The sequence below is a fragment of the Homo sapiens genome, chromosome 13, assembly GCF_000001405.40.
Source record: "Homo sapiens chromosome 13, GRCh38.p14 Primary Assembly".
Lineage (NCBI taxonomy): Eukaryota > Metazoa > Chordata > Mammalia > Primates > Hominidae > Homo > Homo sapiens.
Genome location: NC_000013.11, coordinates 49,076,527 through 49,090,704, shown reverse-complemented (window position 1 = coordinate 49,090,704; position 14,178 = coordinate 49,076,527). Strand labels below are relative to the sequence as shown.

At 37.6% G+C, this 14,178-nt stretch overlaps 1 protein-coding gene across 5 annotated transcripts in view, besides 3 other annotated features; it reads right to left on the bottom strand.

The window, feature by feature from the left end:
* FNDC3A (fibronectin type III domain containing 3A) overlaps positions 1-14,178 on the bottom strand; it is a 234,489-nt gene that overhangs the window by 119,075 nt on the left and 101,236 nt on the right. The gene's annotated exons all lie outside the window — the stretch shown is intronic.
* Positions 7,284-7,373: an enhancer, noted in NCBI's record as "active region_7744". NCBI's record gives its function as "activates an Ori minimal core promoter by ATAC-STARR-seq in GM12878 lymphoblastoid cells {active_cell/tissue: GM12878}" and the evidence as "EXISTENCE:reporter gene assay evidence [ECO:0000049][PMID:35858748]".
* Positions 7,584-7,643: an enhancer, noted in NCBI's record as "active region_7743". NCBI's record gives its function as "activates an Ori minimal core promoter by ATAC-STARR-seq in GM12878 lymphoblastoid cells {active_cell/tissue: GM12878}" and the evidence as "EXISTENCE:reporter gene assay evidence [ECO:0000049][PMID:35858748]".
* Positions 7,834-8,083: an enhancer, noted in NCBI's record as "active region_7742". NCBI's record gives its function as "activates an Ori minimal core promoter by ATAC-STARR-seq in GM12878 lymphoblastoid cells {active_cell/tissue: GM12878}" and the evidence as "EXISTENCE:reporter gene assay evidence [ECO:0000049][PMID:35858748]".

Sequence of the window (14,178 nt, the reverse complement as noted above, 5' to 3'; positions counted from 1 at the left end):
CTGACCTAATCTTTAATGCATGGCTCCCAGACGGGGGAAAACAAAGTGGGGGATAAAAGGGTGTTGTTCTTTAAATCCCCTGGAAGTCACAACAGCCAGGGGGTGGGGTGGGGGGGCACTTGCAATAGAGGGTCGTACAATAACAATGGCTGCCCACTTCTTTGTTTGCATGTCTGTGACAGAAGCAGCAGTCAGAGGTCAAAGCACAGACCCCAGTCAGAGGTCAAAGCACAGACCCCCGATCTGTGCAATCTCCTGGATGTGTTTGTTTTTTTGTTTTGTTTTGTTTTTGAGACGGAGTCTCGCTCTGTCACCCAGGCTGGAGTGCAGTGGCGTGATCTTGGCTCACTGCAACTTCTACCTCAAGTGATTCTCCTCTCTCAGCCTCCTGACTAGCTGGGACTACAGGCACATGCCACCATGCCCAGCTAATTTTTGTATATTTTAGTAGAGACAGGGTTTCACCATGTTGGTCAGGCTGGTCTCGAACCCCTGACTTCGTGATCTGCCCACCTCAGCCTCCCAAAGTGCTGGGATTACAGGTGTGAGCCAGCGCGTCTGGCCTCTGGGATATGTTCTTAAAGAAAGTGGGCAAATTTCTCATCTCTTTTTCTTCTCCTGCCCTTTTCCATTCTCTTTGGCACATGGACATGGTGGTGAGCCAACCTGGATCATGCATACATTGGCAGCAACCTAGGGATGGCAGGCCAAGGCAAAAGTAACCTAGGCCACTTGTATAACCTATGGAGCAGCACCTCCATACAAGCACTAACTGCCTATCTTTGTACCGTAATTTATGAGAAAAGAAAAAAGTTCATATTATTTGTCTTAGTTTTTTATTGCTGTGTAACAAACAGTGGTTTTAAAAAGTACCCATTCATTAGTTCAGTTTTGTACTTCAGAAGTCTGGGTATGGTGTAACTGGCTTCTCTGTTCGGGGTCTCATAAGGCAAAAAAAGAAGCGTGAACTAGGGTGTATTCTCATCTGGAGGTTGGAGACCTCTTACCAAAAGCTTATGGTGTGGCAGAATTAAGTTTTGTGATTGCAGGACTGAGGTCCCCATTTCTGGTGGGTAGCCAGGGACCACAGTCAGTTCCCAGAGCCCACCCACATTTCTTGCCATGTGGCCCTTTCCATCTTCAAAGCCAGCAAGAAAACTCTTTCACTTGCTGACTTCCATCTCATGCTTCAAATCTCTTCCAGAAAGGCCCTCTTTTCATAAGGACTCACTTGATTAGTGAGGTTTATTCCAGACAATCTCTCTTTCTTAAAAGTCATCTGTACCATGCAATACAATATAACCCAATTGTGAAAGTAACATTCATCATATTCATTGTCCTGGAAATTATGTAGGTTATGTACAAGAGAAGGCAACAACACTGGGGGCCATCCTAGAATTTTGCCTACCACATTATTTAAGCTCTGGCTTCAGGTATCTGCTGCTTTAAAAATGGTTTTTGATAAATATAAAAATTTACTAAATTAATTTTTTAAATTGTGGTAAAATACAGATAAAACTTGCCATTTTAACACATTTTAAGTGTATGGTTCAATATTAGGTACATTTACATTGTTGTGCAACTATCACCACTATCCAACTCCAGAACATTTTTCATCTTCCAAAACTAAAATTCTGTACCCATTAAATACTAACTCTCCACTCTTCCCTCCCTCTAGTCCCTAGCAACCACTATTCTATTTTCTCTCTCTATGAATTTGACTATTTTGGATACCTCACGTAAGTGGAATCACACAATATTTATCTTTTTGTGACTGATTTATTTCACTTAACTGCTACATACTTTTGAAATTAAATTTTAATACACATCAGAAAACACTGCTGTGTGCAGTGCCTCATGCCTGTAAATCCTAGCACTTTAGGAGGCCAAGGCAGGAGAATCACTTGAGGCTACGAGTTCAAGACCAGCCTGGGCAACATAGCGAGACCCTGTCTTTACTTAAAAAAGAAAAAAAAGAAAAAAAGACTGAGAAGGAAGTACTAGTGCGGTTGGAAAAAAAACAGGAGAATGCATAAACTGTAGAAGGGCAATCAAGAGAACAGTGTCCAAGAAGAAGGAAATAATACACTGGGTTAAATATACTGGGTCGAATGCTACTGGTTCAAATAATACACTGAGGTCAAGTATGATGAGAAGTGAGAATTGACCACTCATTCTGGCTACACAGAGGTTACTGGTGACCTTGACAAGAGTGTAACAATCATTCAATCTAGAAGTAGTAGTAGTATATGATCACAATAGTTACTACTGTTATGGATTATTTTCCCATAGTATGAGAATTTTGGAGTGAAGCTGAGTGAAATAAAACTGTGCCCAAACATGATCTCTTTGGTGTCAGTTTCCAAGTAATTTCATGATGAAGTGGAACTAAAAAAATATTTTGAGGAAAAACACACGTAGTAGAAAAAGATTCCCTGTATATTGTATGTAACTATCTACTGGGATCATTTACTCAATTAACAAATACTTATTGAGTGCCTACATAGTGCCAGGAATAAATTTTATTATAATTGAATGTTTCCTTAATTATTCATATATAAAAGGTTAAAAATGGTTAGATATTAGAAAAATTTGCAATGGTCCATAAAGATAATATGTCTATTGGGCTAATCTTAACCTAAGCAAATAAGTAATGAAGCTAATGCCAATCAAAGCCTTTAGAAAACTTCATTCTAATAAAAATCTGATCATAGCATTCTAAGGAGAAGCAAATATCTGAGAAATCAAAAGCAGATAGCAACACCTTTCTTCTACAGAAAAATAGGTTTCTAAATTTCTGTTACCTAGAATATAACAACTATTTTTACGTAAAAATAACCGACTGCATAAATGTTCATTTAATTTATAAAACCAACCAACTTCCCCTCTTATAAAAAACAAGTTACCATTTTATTTTACTTACACATATTTATTTTATAATTGGTATTAGATATTCAAAAGGCAGCTTTTAAAATCAAACTAAATGGAAACTGCCTTAGATACATAATTCTTAGGAATTAGCTTAAAATCTGCCTAAAGTGAAAATCTTCTCTAGCTCTTTTGACTGTAAATTTTTGACTCTTGTAAAACATCCAAATTCATTTTTCTTGTCTTTAAAATTATCTAATCTTTCCATTTTTTCCCTATTCCAAGTCAATTTGCTTCTCTAGCCTCATTTCCTAGCTCTTATCTACTATTAGTAAGTGGCTTTTTTCCTAAAAGGGAAAACAGGAAGAGAGAATGGCACACAAAACAAACATTTTATATTCATATTTCTACCTACGTAATAAAATAGCATTTTGTGAGGCCAGCTCAAAAGAAGGCTTAGATCCTTTTATGTCCATTTTAGTCACTAAACGATATCAAAAGTGCCAGAATGCAAAAGGTTTGTGAACATTTATTCAAAAGCTAATATAAGATATTTCACATACTCATCTTTCTGGATCCTAATTTCCTTTTGTCATCAGTCATTAAAAAATTTTTTTAATCAATATTTTTGTTGCTTATTTTAATAGCACTCACTAAACTGGCTTAGATTTTATACTTCCAAGAGACTAACTATAACAGTGATATTTTGCTTATTAGGAACATGAAGAATTGATGACAACTGAATTTCCCTATATTTTCCTTTCTAACAAAAATATTGCAATTTTCTCTTAAATAAGTCTTATATAACACACTTTCTCTTGAAAAGTAACATTTAATAGCTCTCTGGGACATCCTGAGACTATTACACAATGTACTCGGAATGAATCATAGTCATTCACTTAAATTGAAATGGGCTGAATTTATGAATGGATGATCTGTTATAATTCATTTTTACAAACATGACTCATTAATGTTTCAAAGCTACTATTTTGAGCGACTCTAATTAAACTGATGTTTTCATATTAAAAGGGGAAGTATAAAGAGCAAATTTTTAAATACAATCATGATTTCCACCAGTATGAAAAATAGTTACCTATGCTTCAAAAAATTTTCTAATGGAAGTTAAGGTTGTTTAAGTAATGTATAAAGAACAAACTTCTCCATGGTTTAGTTTGCTAATTATGAAAAAAGTAAATAGTCATATGGGAATAAAAATCTACTACATGTGGTTTTGACTTGAGTTACTTATAATTTCAGTAGAACTTGGTCTGATTTGCTGTAATGCAAAGTCAGTGGGCAAAAGATAACCAGTGATCTTATAAAAAATTCTTATAATATCAATCTCCGTATTATTAAAATACATTTAAGACATGGTATGTAATTAGTATAGTTATGAATATGTAACTATTTGAGAGCTGGTAGAAACTTGTAGAATCTAAATTGCCCTAGCCCACCCTCATTTCAGTATATGCACAATACCGGCCAGAATTTAAGTAAATTACCTACGGCTATAAATTAATAGCATTTTAGGCTTGTGATGAACCTTAAAAGGCATGAACAATCCCCTCAAAAGAAATAAACCATCTTCTATAAATAAACCACCATCAAGTGAAGAGCCAGCAGATGCATTACCACCTACAAAGATAGATGGGAGAGGCTGGGTGCAGTGGCTCATGCCTGTAATCCCAGAACTTTAGGAGGCTGAGGCGGGTGGATCACCTGAGATCAGGAGTTCAAGACCAGCCTGGCCAACATGGTGAAACCTTGTCTCTACAAAAATACAAAAATTAGCCGGGCATGATGGCAAGTGCCTGTAATCCCAGCTACTTGGGAGGTTGAAGCAGGAGAATCACTTGAACTCAGGAGGCAGAGGTTGCAGTGAGCCGAGATCGGGCCATTGCACTCCAGCCTGGGCAAGACAGTAAGACTTGGTCTCAAGGGGAAAAAAAAAAAAAAAAAAGGATGGATGGGAAACTGATCACTCCTAACCCTCCTTTGACATCTCCGTTTATTACAAAGTTCTTCTTCATGCTAAGCTAAACTCTGTTTTCTTTTAACTTCCACCCATTGGTTCTAGAACCCAGGTCAATTTACTCCCAGACCTGTGCCTTTAATAACACACCATTAATTCTGTCACATAGTCTGTTACTTCTTTAAAGTTTTATTGTGATTATAGGAAGAAATGGTATACGTGTAATATCTCATGCCTACTGTTATAGTAACTGCAGCAAAAGTTGTAGTGACTATGATCTACAACACAATAGACACAACTTCTGATAAATTTCAGAGGTATTTCTAATATCAAAGCCCTGAAGTATCAAGAGTCATGAGGCTGAGGTGTCTCAGAGATTCCAGGATATCAGAGCAGGTTACTAGGAGTCTTACTTGCATGAGGACTCTACATTCCTCTCTCCTCCCCAACAAAGACATCCTGAGAGAAGAGGGCTTTGCTTATGTCTTATGGGCATAAGGATTTACACTAGAACATGAGAGAAGGACAAGGCCAGGAGCTCCAACTTTTGCAAGGCAAATAACTTACCATGAGGTAACAGAGTTGTGATTAATGGGATAGAGGCTCAGGGTTTATAACTATTTAACAAAATACTGGCTTAGTCTAGGGACTTGCTAAAAAATGCTCTGCAAAGGAGATGGCAGGTATTTGAAAAAGCTGACTAATTGCAGGAATGAGGATGGACGTGTGGTTATAATCATCACGATCCCACAGCACAGAAAGGGAGAAAATGGTTACTAACTGGTTGGGACATACCATCCCTTATGTTCAAAAAGACCTGTAATGGCAGGAAGAAGCAGGATCAGGTACTTGAGGAAATGAGGTGAGAGTAGAAAAGCAATGAACAGCAGCAGCAACGAAAAAGAAAAGTCAGATAGAGGAGTTGACAATAACTGCCCCCAGAAGCACCGGGGCTGGTTACTTCTTTAATGAGGGGACAGTAGAAGCAAGAAAGGATAAACCCCTACTGGCAGAAAAAGCCATACCAGCAACAACGAGGAGAAAACATCAATAACTCCTGAGAAGCTGTTCTGAGCCACTTGAAACCAAAAGGTTAGCAATAGGACTTCTAGGTGGAGCCTGATCATACTAACTCTAGTAGGTGACGAGGTTCACAATCAACACACTCTAGTAGTGTTAATTAGGTTCTTGTCTTCCCCAAGCAGCGTGAGGTATGAGAAAACAAAGGTGATACCTCTCAGAAAACTTGAATTCACCTTGATACTTTTTCTACACAAAGAGTCAAATCATGAGAAAATAAGCATAAACCCAGAATTTTTGGTCAAATGATCATCACCCAGGTGATATCTGTGGCTCACCATTTACATATTTAAATCAATATTTTCATATAACTGTATAATCTTAAATGGTGCTCATATTGAAAACTCTGAGGCACTAAAATATCCCCAAGTATGAAAAGTATATTTTTGGTATATAACAGTTACCAAGGCAAGCAAGTACTGTACACAAATAAAAATATTTTAGCAGTTCTTTTTAACATATTGACAGAATGCCCACTAAGCAAAAGGCATTATTTTAGCACAGATGATAAAAGATGAAACAGGCAATTTCTGTTGTTAAAGAAACAAAATGGAAGATAATACTCCACTTCAGTTAAGTAGGGTTTTTGTACCAAAATAAAGACGGCATTATTGTTCCTGCCCCTATGAGATTCAGAATGTAGTGGAAGTTTCTCTCTCCTCAAGTATTTATTTCACCAGTAGTGGGTATTAATAAATTAACTAGTTGATATACTATTTATAGGTCTACCATGAGCAATAACCATTCACTAGCTCAATTACCTTATGTGCCTGTGCACAGATAGACTTGTTAAATTTAACACGCTCATTCAGAGTCCTCATTCCCAGAAGTAACTAAAGAGAACTCAGTTTAATAAACAGATTATTCTGGAATCAAAGCATCTTTAGTTACAATAACTGCTGGAATTCACCTAATCACAATTATCTTTCTATGCTGGAATTACTTTTATAATATCACCCAACCAGGGTATGAACACATATGAAGATGGGACACTGTTATAACAAACAACTCCATTTTTATACAGCCATAGCTGTTCTTCCCCGTGTCAAAATCTGCTTCCTTAGCCGGGCATGGTGGTGAATGCAACCGTAATCCCAGCACTTTGGGAGGCCGAGGCGGGTGGATCACGAGGTCAAGAGCTTGAGACCAAGTCACTGCCCTCTTTTCTAGGTTAAACATCCTTCACGCATTTCTATAGTGTTTTATAAAGGTGATTTCACGCTTCTATGATCTCCTGGTTATCTTCCTTGGGACAATCCCAGTTTGTCAATACTTCTTTTAAACATGTTAAAAGAATACCGTCTAACCAGCATACACCACCATCTGTTTTGAACTTGCATTTCTATTTTTGAAGTCCAAGATTTCATTTGTTTTCCCTTTTGCAAATGGGATTCAATAGATGACTCATATTTAGTTCTAGTTCCGCTAAAATAAGCAAGTTCTATTCATAAAGTTGTCTTCTCTTGCACTGCAGTGGACGCTGTCATTTGTTTTAGTGCATAGAATCTGAAGTCCCTTTGTGTGTTTGAGGAGTCTCCTTGGTGTGAGATAAAGACCATCACTCCTACAGGTGCTGATAATTTGGCAGGCAGTGGTGGGTGGCTACAAAATTCCTGTTGCAGAAGTGGTATCTGTGCTAGAAGCAAGTAATACTGAGTTCTTAGTGGAGGAGGGGAAGGGGTATAATCACAGCATTGATGATGACTTCCTAATTAGACCACCTCTGTGTGGATGCCCTTTTTACCCTAGTTGGGCTCTGACTCTTCACTCTAATACATCCCCAGATTGTGCACTATCTGACCATGCTGGGACTCCTACAACCCAGGTCAGGCTACCCCTCCACACAGATGGCCTCCTCACTCTTGTTTGAGCTCTGATTCCCCATGCTGGATCATTGCATTGCGTCAGTGACTGCCTCATCCTGCTCAAGTTCTTACATGCCACACTACATACCTTCTTGATGATATCCTCCTCAGCCTTATACTCTGACTCCCTATACCAGGCTGCCTTCTTGTGTGAATTCCCTCTTCAGTCTGCTTGGGCTCTAACTCCCTATACTTGGCTATTCTCTGATGTGATATGGTTCTCATTCAATTAGGGCTCTGACATCCTACTCTGGGGAACTGCAGCTCACCTCTCCCATTCCCACTAGTGCACTGCCTATATTGTTCTGCCTCACCTAAGAGCTTCAGGACTGAGCTATTAGGAAGGAAAAGGAATGAGGACAGGAGGAGTCTCAATATCATCTTAAACTCTTTTGTGTTTTATAGGCAAGATTAAGTTTCAAAAAAGGAACCCCAACTAATACACACTATACAGTACCTAGATTTTTAAAATCAAAACGTAGAACTTTATATTTACTCCTATTAAATTTTATCCTGTTGGGTTTTTTTGTTTTTGAGATGGAGTCTTACTCTGTCACCCAGGCTGGAGTGCAGTGGCAGGATCTCAGCTCACTGCAACCTCTGCTTCCCGGGTCCAAGTGATTCTCCTGCCTCTGCCTCCCGAATAGCTGGGATTACAGGTTTGCGCCACCACATCCAGCTAATTTTTGTATTTTTAATAGAGACAGGGTTTCATCATGTTGGTCCAACTGGTCTCGAACTCCTGACCACAGGTGATCCGCCCCACCTCGGCCTCCCAAAGTGCTGGGATTACAGGCGTGAGCCACCGTGCTGGGCCTATCCTACTGTTTTTGACCTATCATTTCAATATGTTCTGATCTTCTTGAGTTTGACATTTATTAACGTTAGCAACTTTCTGACACTTAAACATTTCATAAACATGTTTTTATTTTTGTTAAAAAAAAAAAAAAAGGTACTGATTTAACAGGCTCAAAAGAAAGCCCTAGAGAACAAAATCCTGAGTAACACAACGTGAGACAAAGTTGCAGACTGGCAACGGTCTGATGATCAAATTTTATTTCATCTTCCTATAAAGGTATATAAGAAAGTCTGACAAATAAGCTTGAGAAAATAAACAGTGCTTATTCATTTTTGTCCCTCACTGAATACTGAATAAGTGAATGGATGAAGAATATAAGGTCTTTGTTTTTGTAGAAGCCACTTTGCAGAAAAATTATAATGTAGATGTGGTTAATCCATGATCAATGTAATTAGAGACTATATATGATGTAGGTCTTGGGTTCTATGGTTCCACAGATATAAGTAATATATCCCAAAAGATACGGCCTAATAATAATCTTCTCTATGACAAAATTATGTTCTAAGTCCTACATGATGTGTATACACACGGACACACACTATTTACATAAACAAGTGTAAGACACAATATATACTGAATATAATCTGACTGATACAATAGTAAGTGGCAAAGTTTGAACTCAAACCCAAGTACCCTTCTGCTTAACTACTGCCCTATTAAAGTATTAAATAATCATCAATATTTTTGCTTGTCTGTCTAAAACATAATATTTGAAGGAGCCAGAGCATATAAAAATTATTCAAGCATAGCTCGTCTGTGTATTTTTTGCTTTTCATAATTTTCTCTCTTACATGTAGTGGCATGGAATCACACCAAAGTAGAAGTGCCATAACAATGCAAAACCCCTAGATAGTTAATAAATTCTTACTCGTTAGCCCCATTTATTCATTCTGAGGTATCACAGACGAAAAGAGAAAAAGCCATACCTGCCTCTCATAAGGAGGGTTTTTAGCTACAACTGTTGGCTATAACACATCTACTTGTTTGACACATATAAATGCTCAAGAAACATCTGTTGTTTTCTCTTCTTCACTCACCTTAAACGTTTATTGAGAGTCTCTATGTGCTGGGTGCCATACAAAGCATCAGGGCTATAAACATATGTAAAAATATCTGCCTTCAATTATTTCTGTATGTGTATCTACAGCTAAAAGAGGAGAGAAACTAAAGCAAGGGCTTCACAGAACAGATGATATCTAGAGGAACCAATTTGTCATCAGGAGAGCCAGCTCTACACAGGATTCTTAAGTGTTTACTACATATTCTCTATGAAATATGCTTCTATGACCTTCCCAGTAACCCAAATTTAGAAACCTTGCCTAATTCCCTATTTTTCATAACTCTTCACAACATAAAACTAAGAAGGTAGTCTTTAGCACATGCTACAAAGATCTATTAATATAAAACCTAAAATCTCCCCATTCAATAAATTTTTACATTTCTACATACCAGTTACTAGGCAAAATACTTAATTTTCACAGTATCTCTCAATATACAAGACAATCTGTTGACATGCTATCAAAGCACTTCACTATGAAAACGTAAGAACAAGTTAGATTGTTTCAAAATACCTCTCAACAGAAAAAACCTGAGACAGACTCAAACTAGCACTCATTTCAAAAGTAATCAAGAATTTAAGTTAAAACCAGTGAATAATGGTTAAAGAAGGGGGAAAAAATGAGGTATGGGTTCATATCAGGAAATATAAACAGATCTAACCAATGACCAAAATGGAAAACTAGCAAAACAGAAGACTACACTTTTAGATATTTAAGAGTGGTGCCTTATCCAAAAGGACATGAAATAAGGTAAAGAACTAAGGGAAGACAGACATCAAATTCTGAAGAGGACTCAGAAAAAATGGTATGGGACAATAGAAAATGATCAAATCAAAAGAACAATGTAGATATTTTTAATTCTTTTCATTAAAAATATGAAAACTGTATTTTTTGAAACAAATATTGGGCCAGGTACAATTGTCCATGCCTGTAATCACAGTGCTTTGGGAGGCTGAGATGGGACGATTGCTTGAGCCCAGGAGTTTGAGAGCATCCTGGGCAACACAGTGAGAACTCAACTCTATAAAAGCATGGTGGCATGCACCTGCAGTCCTAACTGCTCAGGAGGCTAAGGCAGGAGGATCACCTGAGCCCAGGAGTTTGAGGCTGCAATGAGCTATGACTGTGCTACTACACTCCAGCCTGGGTGACAAAGAGACCCTGTCTCTTAAAATAGAAGACAAATAAATGTGGAAAAGTCCTTGTTTCTGGCCCACAGTGATTCTTCCCCAGTCCCCACCTTTTTTTTCCTTTTTATAGGGTGAAGGGAAGAGAGAGAAGCTCAGGAGTGTATTTGAAAGATTACATGTTATTATTTTATTGAACATTTCCAATGATGTTTGTAGTAGGAAGACTTTTGGTTCAACAGGTACCACATATTTACACAACTTTTTAGCAATTCCAATCTCTTTGTGGTTATTCAAATAAGTCAAGTCATTCTTTCCTTCTGTTGCTTTTGAACACTTTCCCTCTGTCTAAAGTGCCTTGAGACCCTTTGTCCATCTGACCAACTGCCACTGTTCTTCGAGGAGGCTCATGTGTCATTTTCTCCTGGAATAATTTTTTCTTTACATACCACTGAATGTTATAGTAACCCTCCTTCTATGCTCCCATAACACCCTATGTGTATCTCTTTTTATACTGTAATACAACTGTTAATTTTCCCTTTTTTTCCCCCATGACACTGTTCTTGAATGTCAGGAACTTAGTTTTCAGATTTTGTTTGAATGTCCAGCAACTAGCACAGTATACCTCAGTAGATACTTAGAAAATTCATAGAAAAAAATAATTAGCAATTTGTCTTTCCAGAATGTATGCTATACAGTAGAAAAACTACTGTATTGAACTCTGCCCATAACTAGCTGTAACTCACAAAATCTGAGCCTCCAATAAAGTAAGGTAATTATTTAGATGTCTAAAGTTCTCTGTGATTCTCAACCTAGTTTTCATTTCTAAATATTCTGAACAAGTAATAAAGCTACTTTTAAAAGAATGGACTTTAATTCAAATGCTTATTAATTTACACAGCTCTTATCTCAATTCATTAGGTTTTAATATAGAGATTTTATTAGTATAGTGGCTGTCAGAGAACAGCTTTCCTAACTTGATGGCCTTAGGGCTATAATGATCTATGTTTCTCTCCACTTCGCTGGCATATGATTTTCTTCCCTTAATTTCTCTTTCTCCTTGTTATCTGTTGCCTCCACTTCTATTAATAATCTCACTTTTTGCCTAGATCCAGAGCTAGTCCACGAAGGGGCTTGCCATATGACAGAAACTAGTGATGGCTAAGTGGAAGAAAATGAACTCCAGAAGTCTTTTCTTGTCTTCTCTTGCTCAGAGTGAAGGCATGTTGATTTTACAAAGACTTCAACCCCAGTTCCCTTGCTCACTACTATTCCTTCCACCCATATTCCATCTTGTAATTTTGGACAGTCAAAAACATAAAGAGGGGAGAGCCTTCTTATTTTCTGTCTGGTTCCCTTTATCCTTTCCTGTGTTTTTAAAACCTCTACCCAATAATTTTAAAACAGTCTCCAATCTTACAATCTGTCATATAGAGAAAGGAATCCATTTCCCACTGAAGCAGAGAAATGTGTCCCTGCCTAAAAATATCTTCTCATGGTAGTTAGTTCCTATCACTAAGATACTGTTAGTATTACAGGCACATTATAAATTAGATAGGCTTTTTTGGTCCTGACCAAAGGGGTCACTGCCGCATATAAAATCAATTTAATTGATTTATGGAGGTGGGGTTTACAGATTGCAGTTACAAATTAACTTTTGAAATATAAGCTACTTATAATTCAGGGTCTGGTTATCCAATCATAAATAGCACTTTTTGTGTTCTGAGTCACACTAAAACAGTAATGAGTATCTTCCTCTGCAAATGTGTTAGAAAAGATCAATGCTGTATTAGTTAAAATGTACCCACCATAAACAGTATTTATTGAAAACAATTTGAAAAGAGATGTACAAACCTAGATGTGTGCTCTATTAGAAACTTACACTCTATGAAGTACACAGAATAAAATTATTTTCATAAAAACTTAACTGGCAAGTAAAGACAGGTAATGCTTATCACACTGCTTATAAATTCTACTGCCTGGTTTCTTTTAAGTATAATATGTGAACTCTTCCTATTTGTGAAATTGCCATAACTGCTGCACAAATGATTTAAATTAACTTAGAGAAATTTTTAAAAAATTTTTACTTTAAGTTGTGGGATACATGTGCAGAATGTGCAGGTTTGTTACATCGGTATACATGTGCCATGGTGGTTTGGTGCACCTATAAACCCATTACCTAGGTTTTAAGCCCTGCATGCATTAGGTATTTGTCCTAATGCTCTCCCTCCCCTTGGCCCGGGGCCTGTCGCAGGCCCTGGTGTGTGAGGTTCCCCTCTCTGTGTCCATGTGTTCAACTTAGAGAGAAATTTTTAACTCTCAGATATATAAGGTTTAAATGTCAGGCTAAAAGTTTTAATTTTAATTACTGAGCTGATTACTTCTCTGAAAAGAGTTAGGTCTATTTCTTCTTTGATTAAACAGATTGGACAGCCTAGGTAAAATGGGGGAAGACAGGAAGTTTGCCTGGGCTAGACAGTCTTGCTTTACATCAGTTGTCTTGAAGTAAGTGTTAGAGTTCTTTCACTGTATTCCAGTTTGAAAGATGACAAAGTATACAGACACCTCATCTCCAATGCTCTTTTTAAATTTAATTTTATTTTGAGACAGGGTCTCGCTTTATCGCCCAGGCTGGAGTGCACTGGTATGACCATAGCTCACTGCAGCCTCAAATTTTTGGGCTCAAGCAATCTTCCAACCTTATCTCTCGAGTAGTTAGGACAGCAGGCGTGCGCCACTATGCCTAATTTTTAAATTTTTTGTAGAGACAGGGTCTTGTTATGCTGCCCAGGCTGGTCTCGTATTCCTGGCCTCAAGAGGTCCTCCTGCCTCATTCTCTCAAAGCACTGGGATTACAGGTGTGACCCACTGCACTTGTCTTCCCTTTTTAAACTAAAGCAATAACTATTAGTTAAATACCCAACATATGGAAGGCCAAGAATTGAAGGGGATACAAAGAAATGTAAGAAATGGTATGTGTCCCCAAAGTGCTTAGACTTTAGCTGGGGAGACTGAATAAAAATTTTATGTTAAACAATACAAAATTTAAATAACTTTAAAAATACAACTAGAAGAAATATTACAAGATGGTGTAGTTATTTGGTAAATGAATGGTGCAATAATTGGTATGATGGGGTTTCACAGGTGACGGGGATCACTTTCTATTAACAATAACACTACAGCACTCACCACCACTTATTGAGTGCCTTGTATGTCCCAGGCTGGTTTAGAGTACATTACCCGTGTATCAGGAACCTTCACAATGATCCTATAAGGTGTACTATTATTGACAGGAATAAGAATTTTAATGATGAGAAATGTACTCACCGAGAGCTGGGTACAGAGGCTC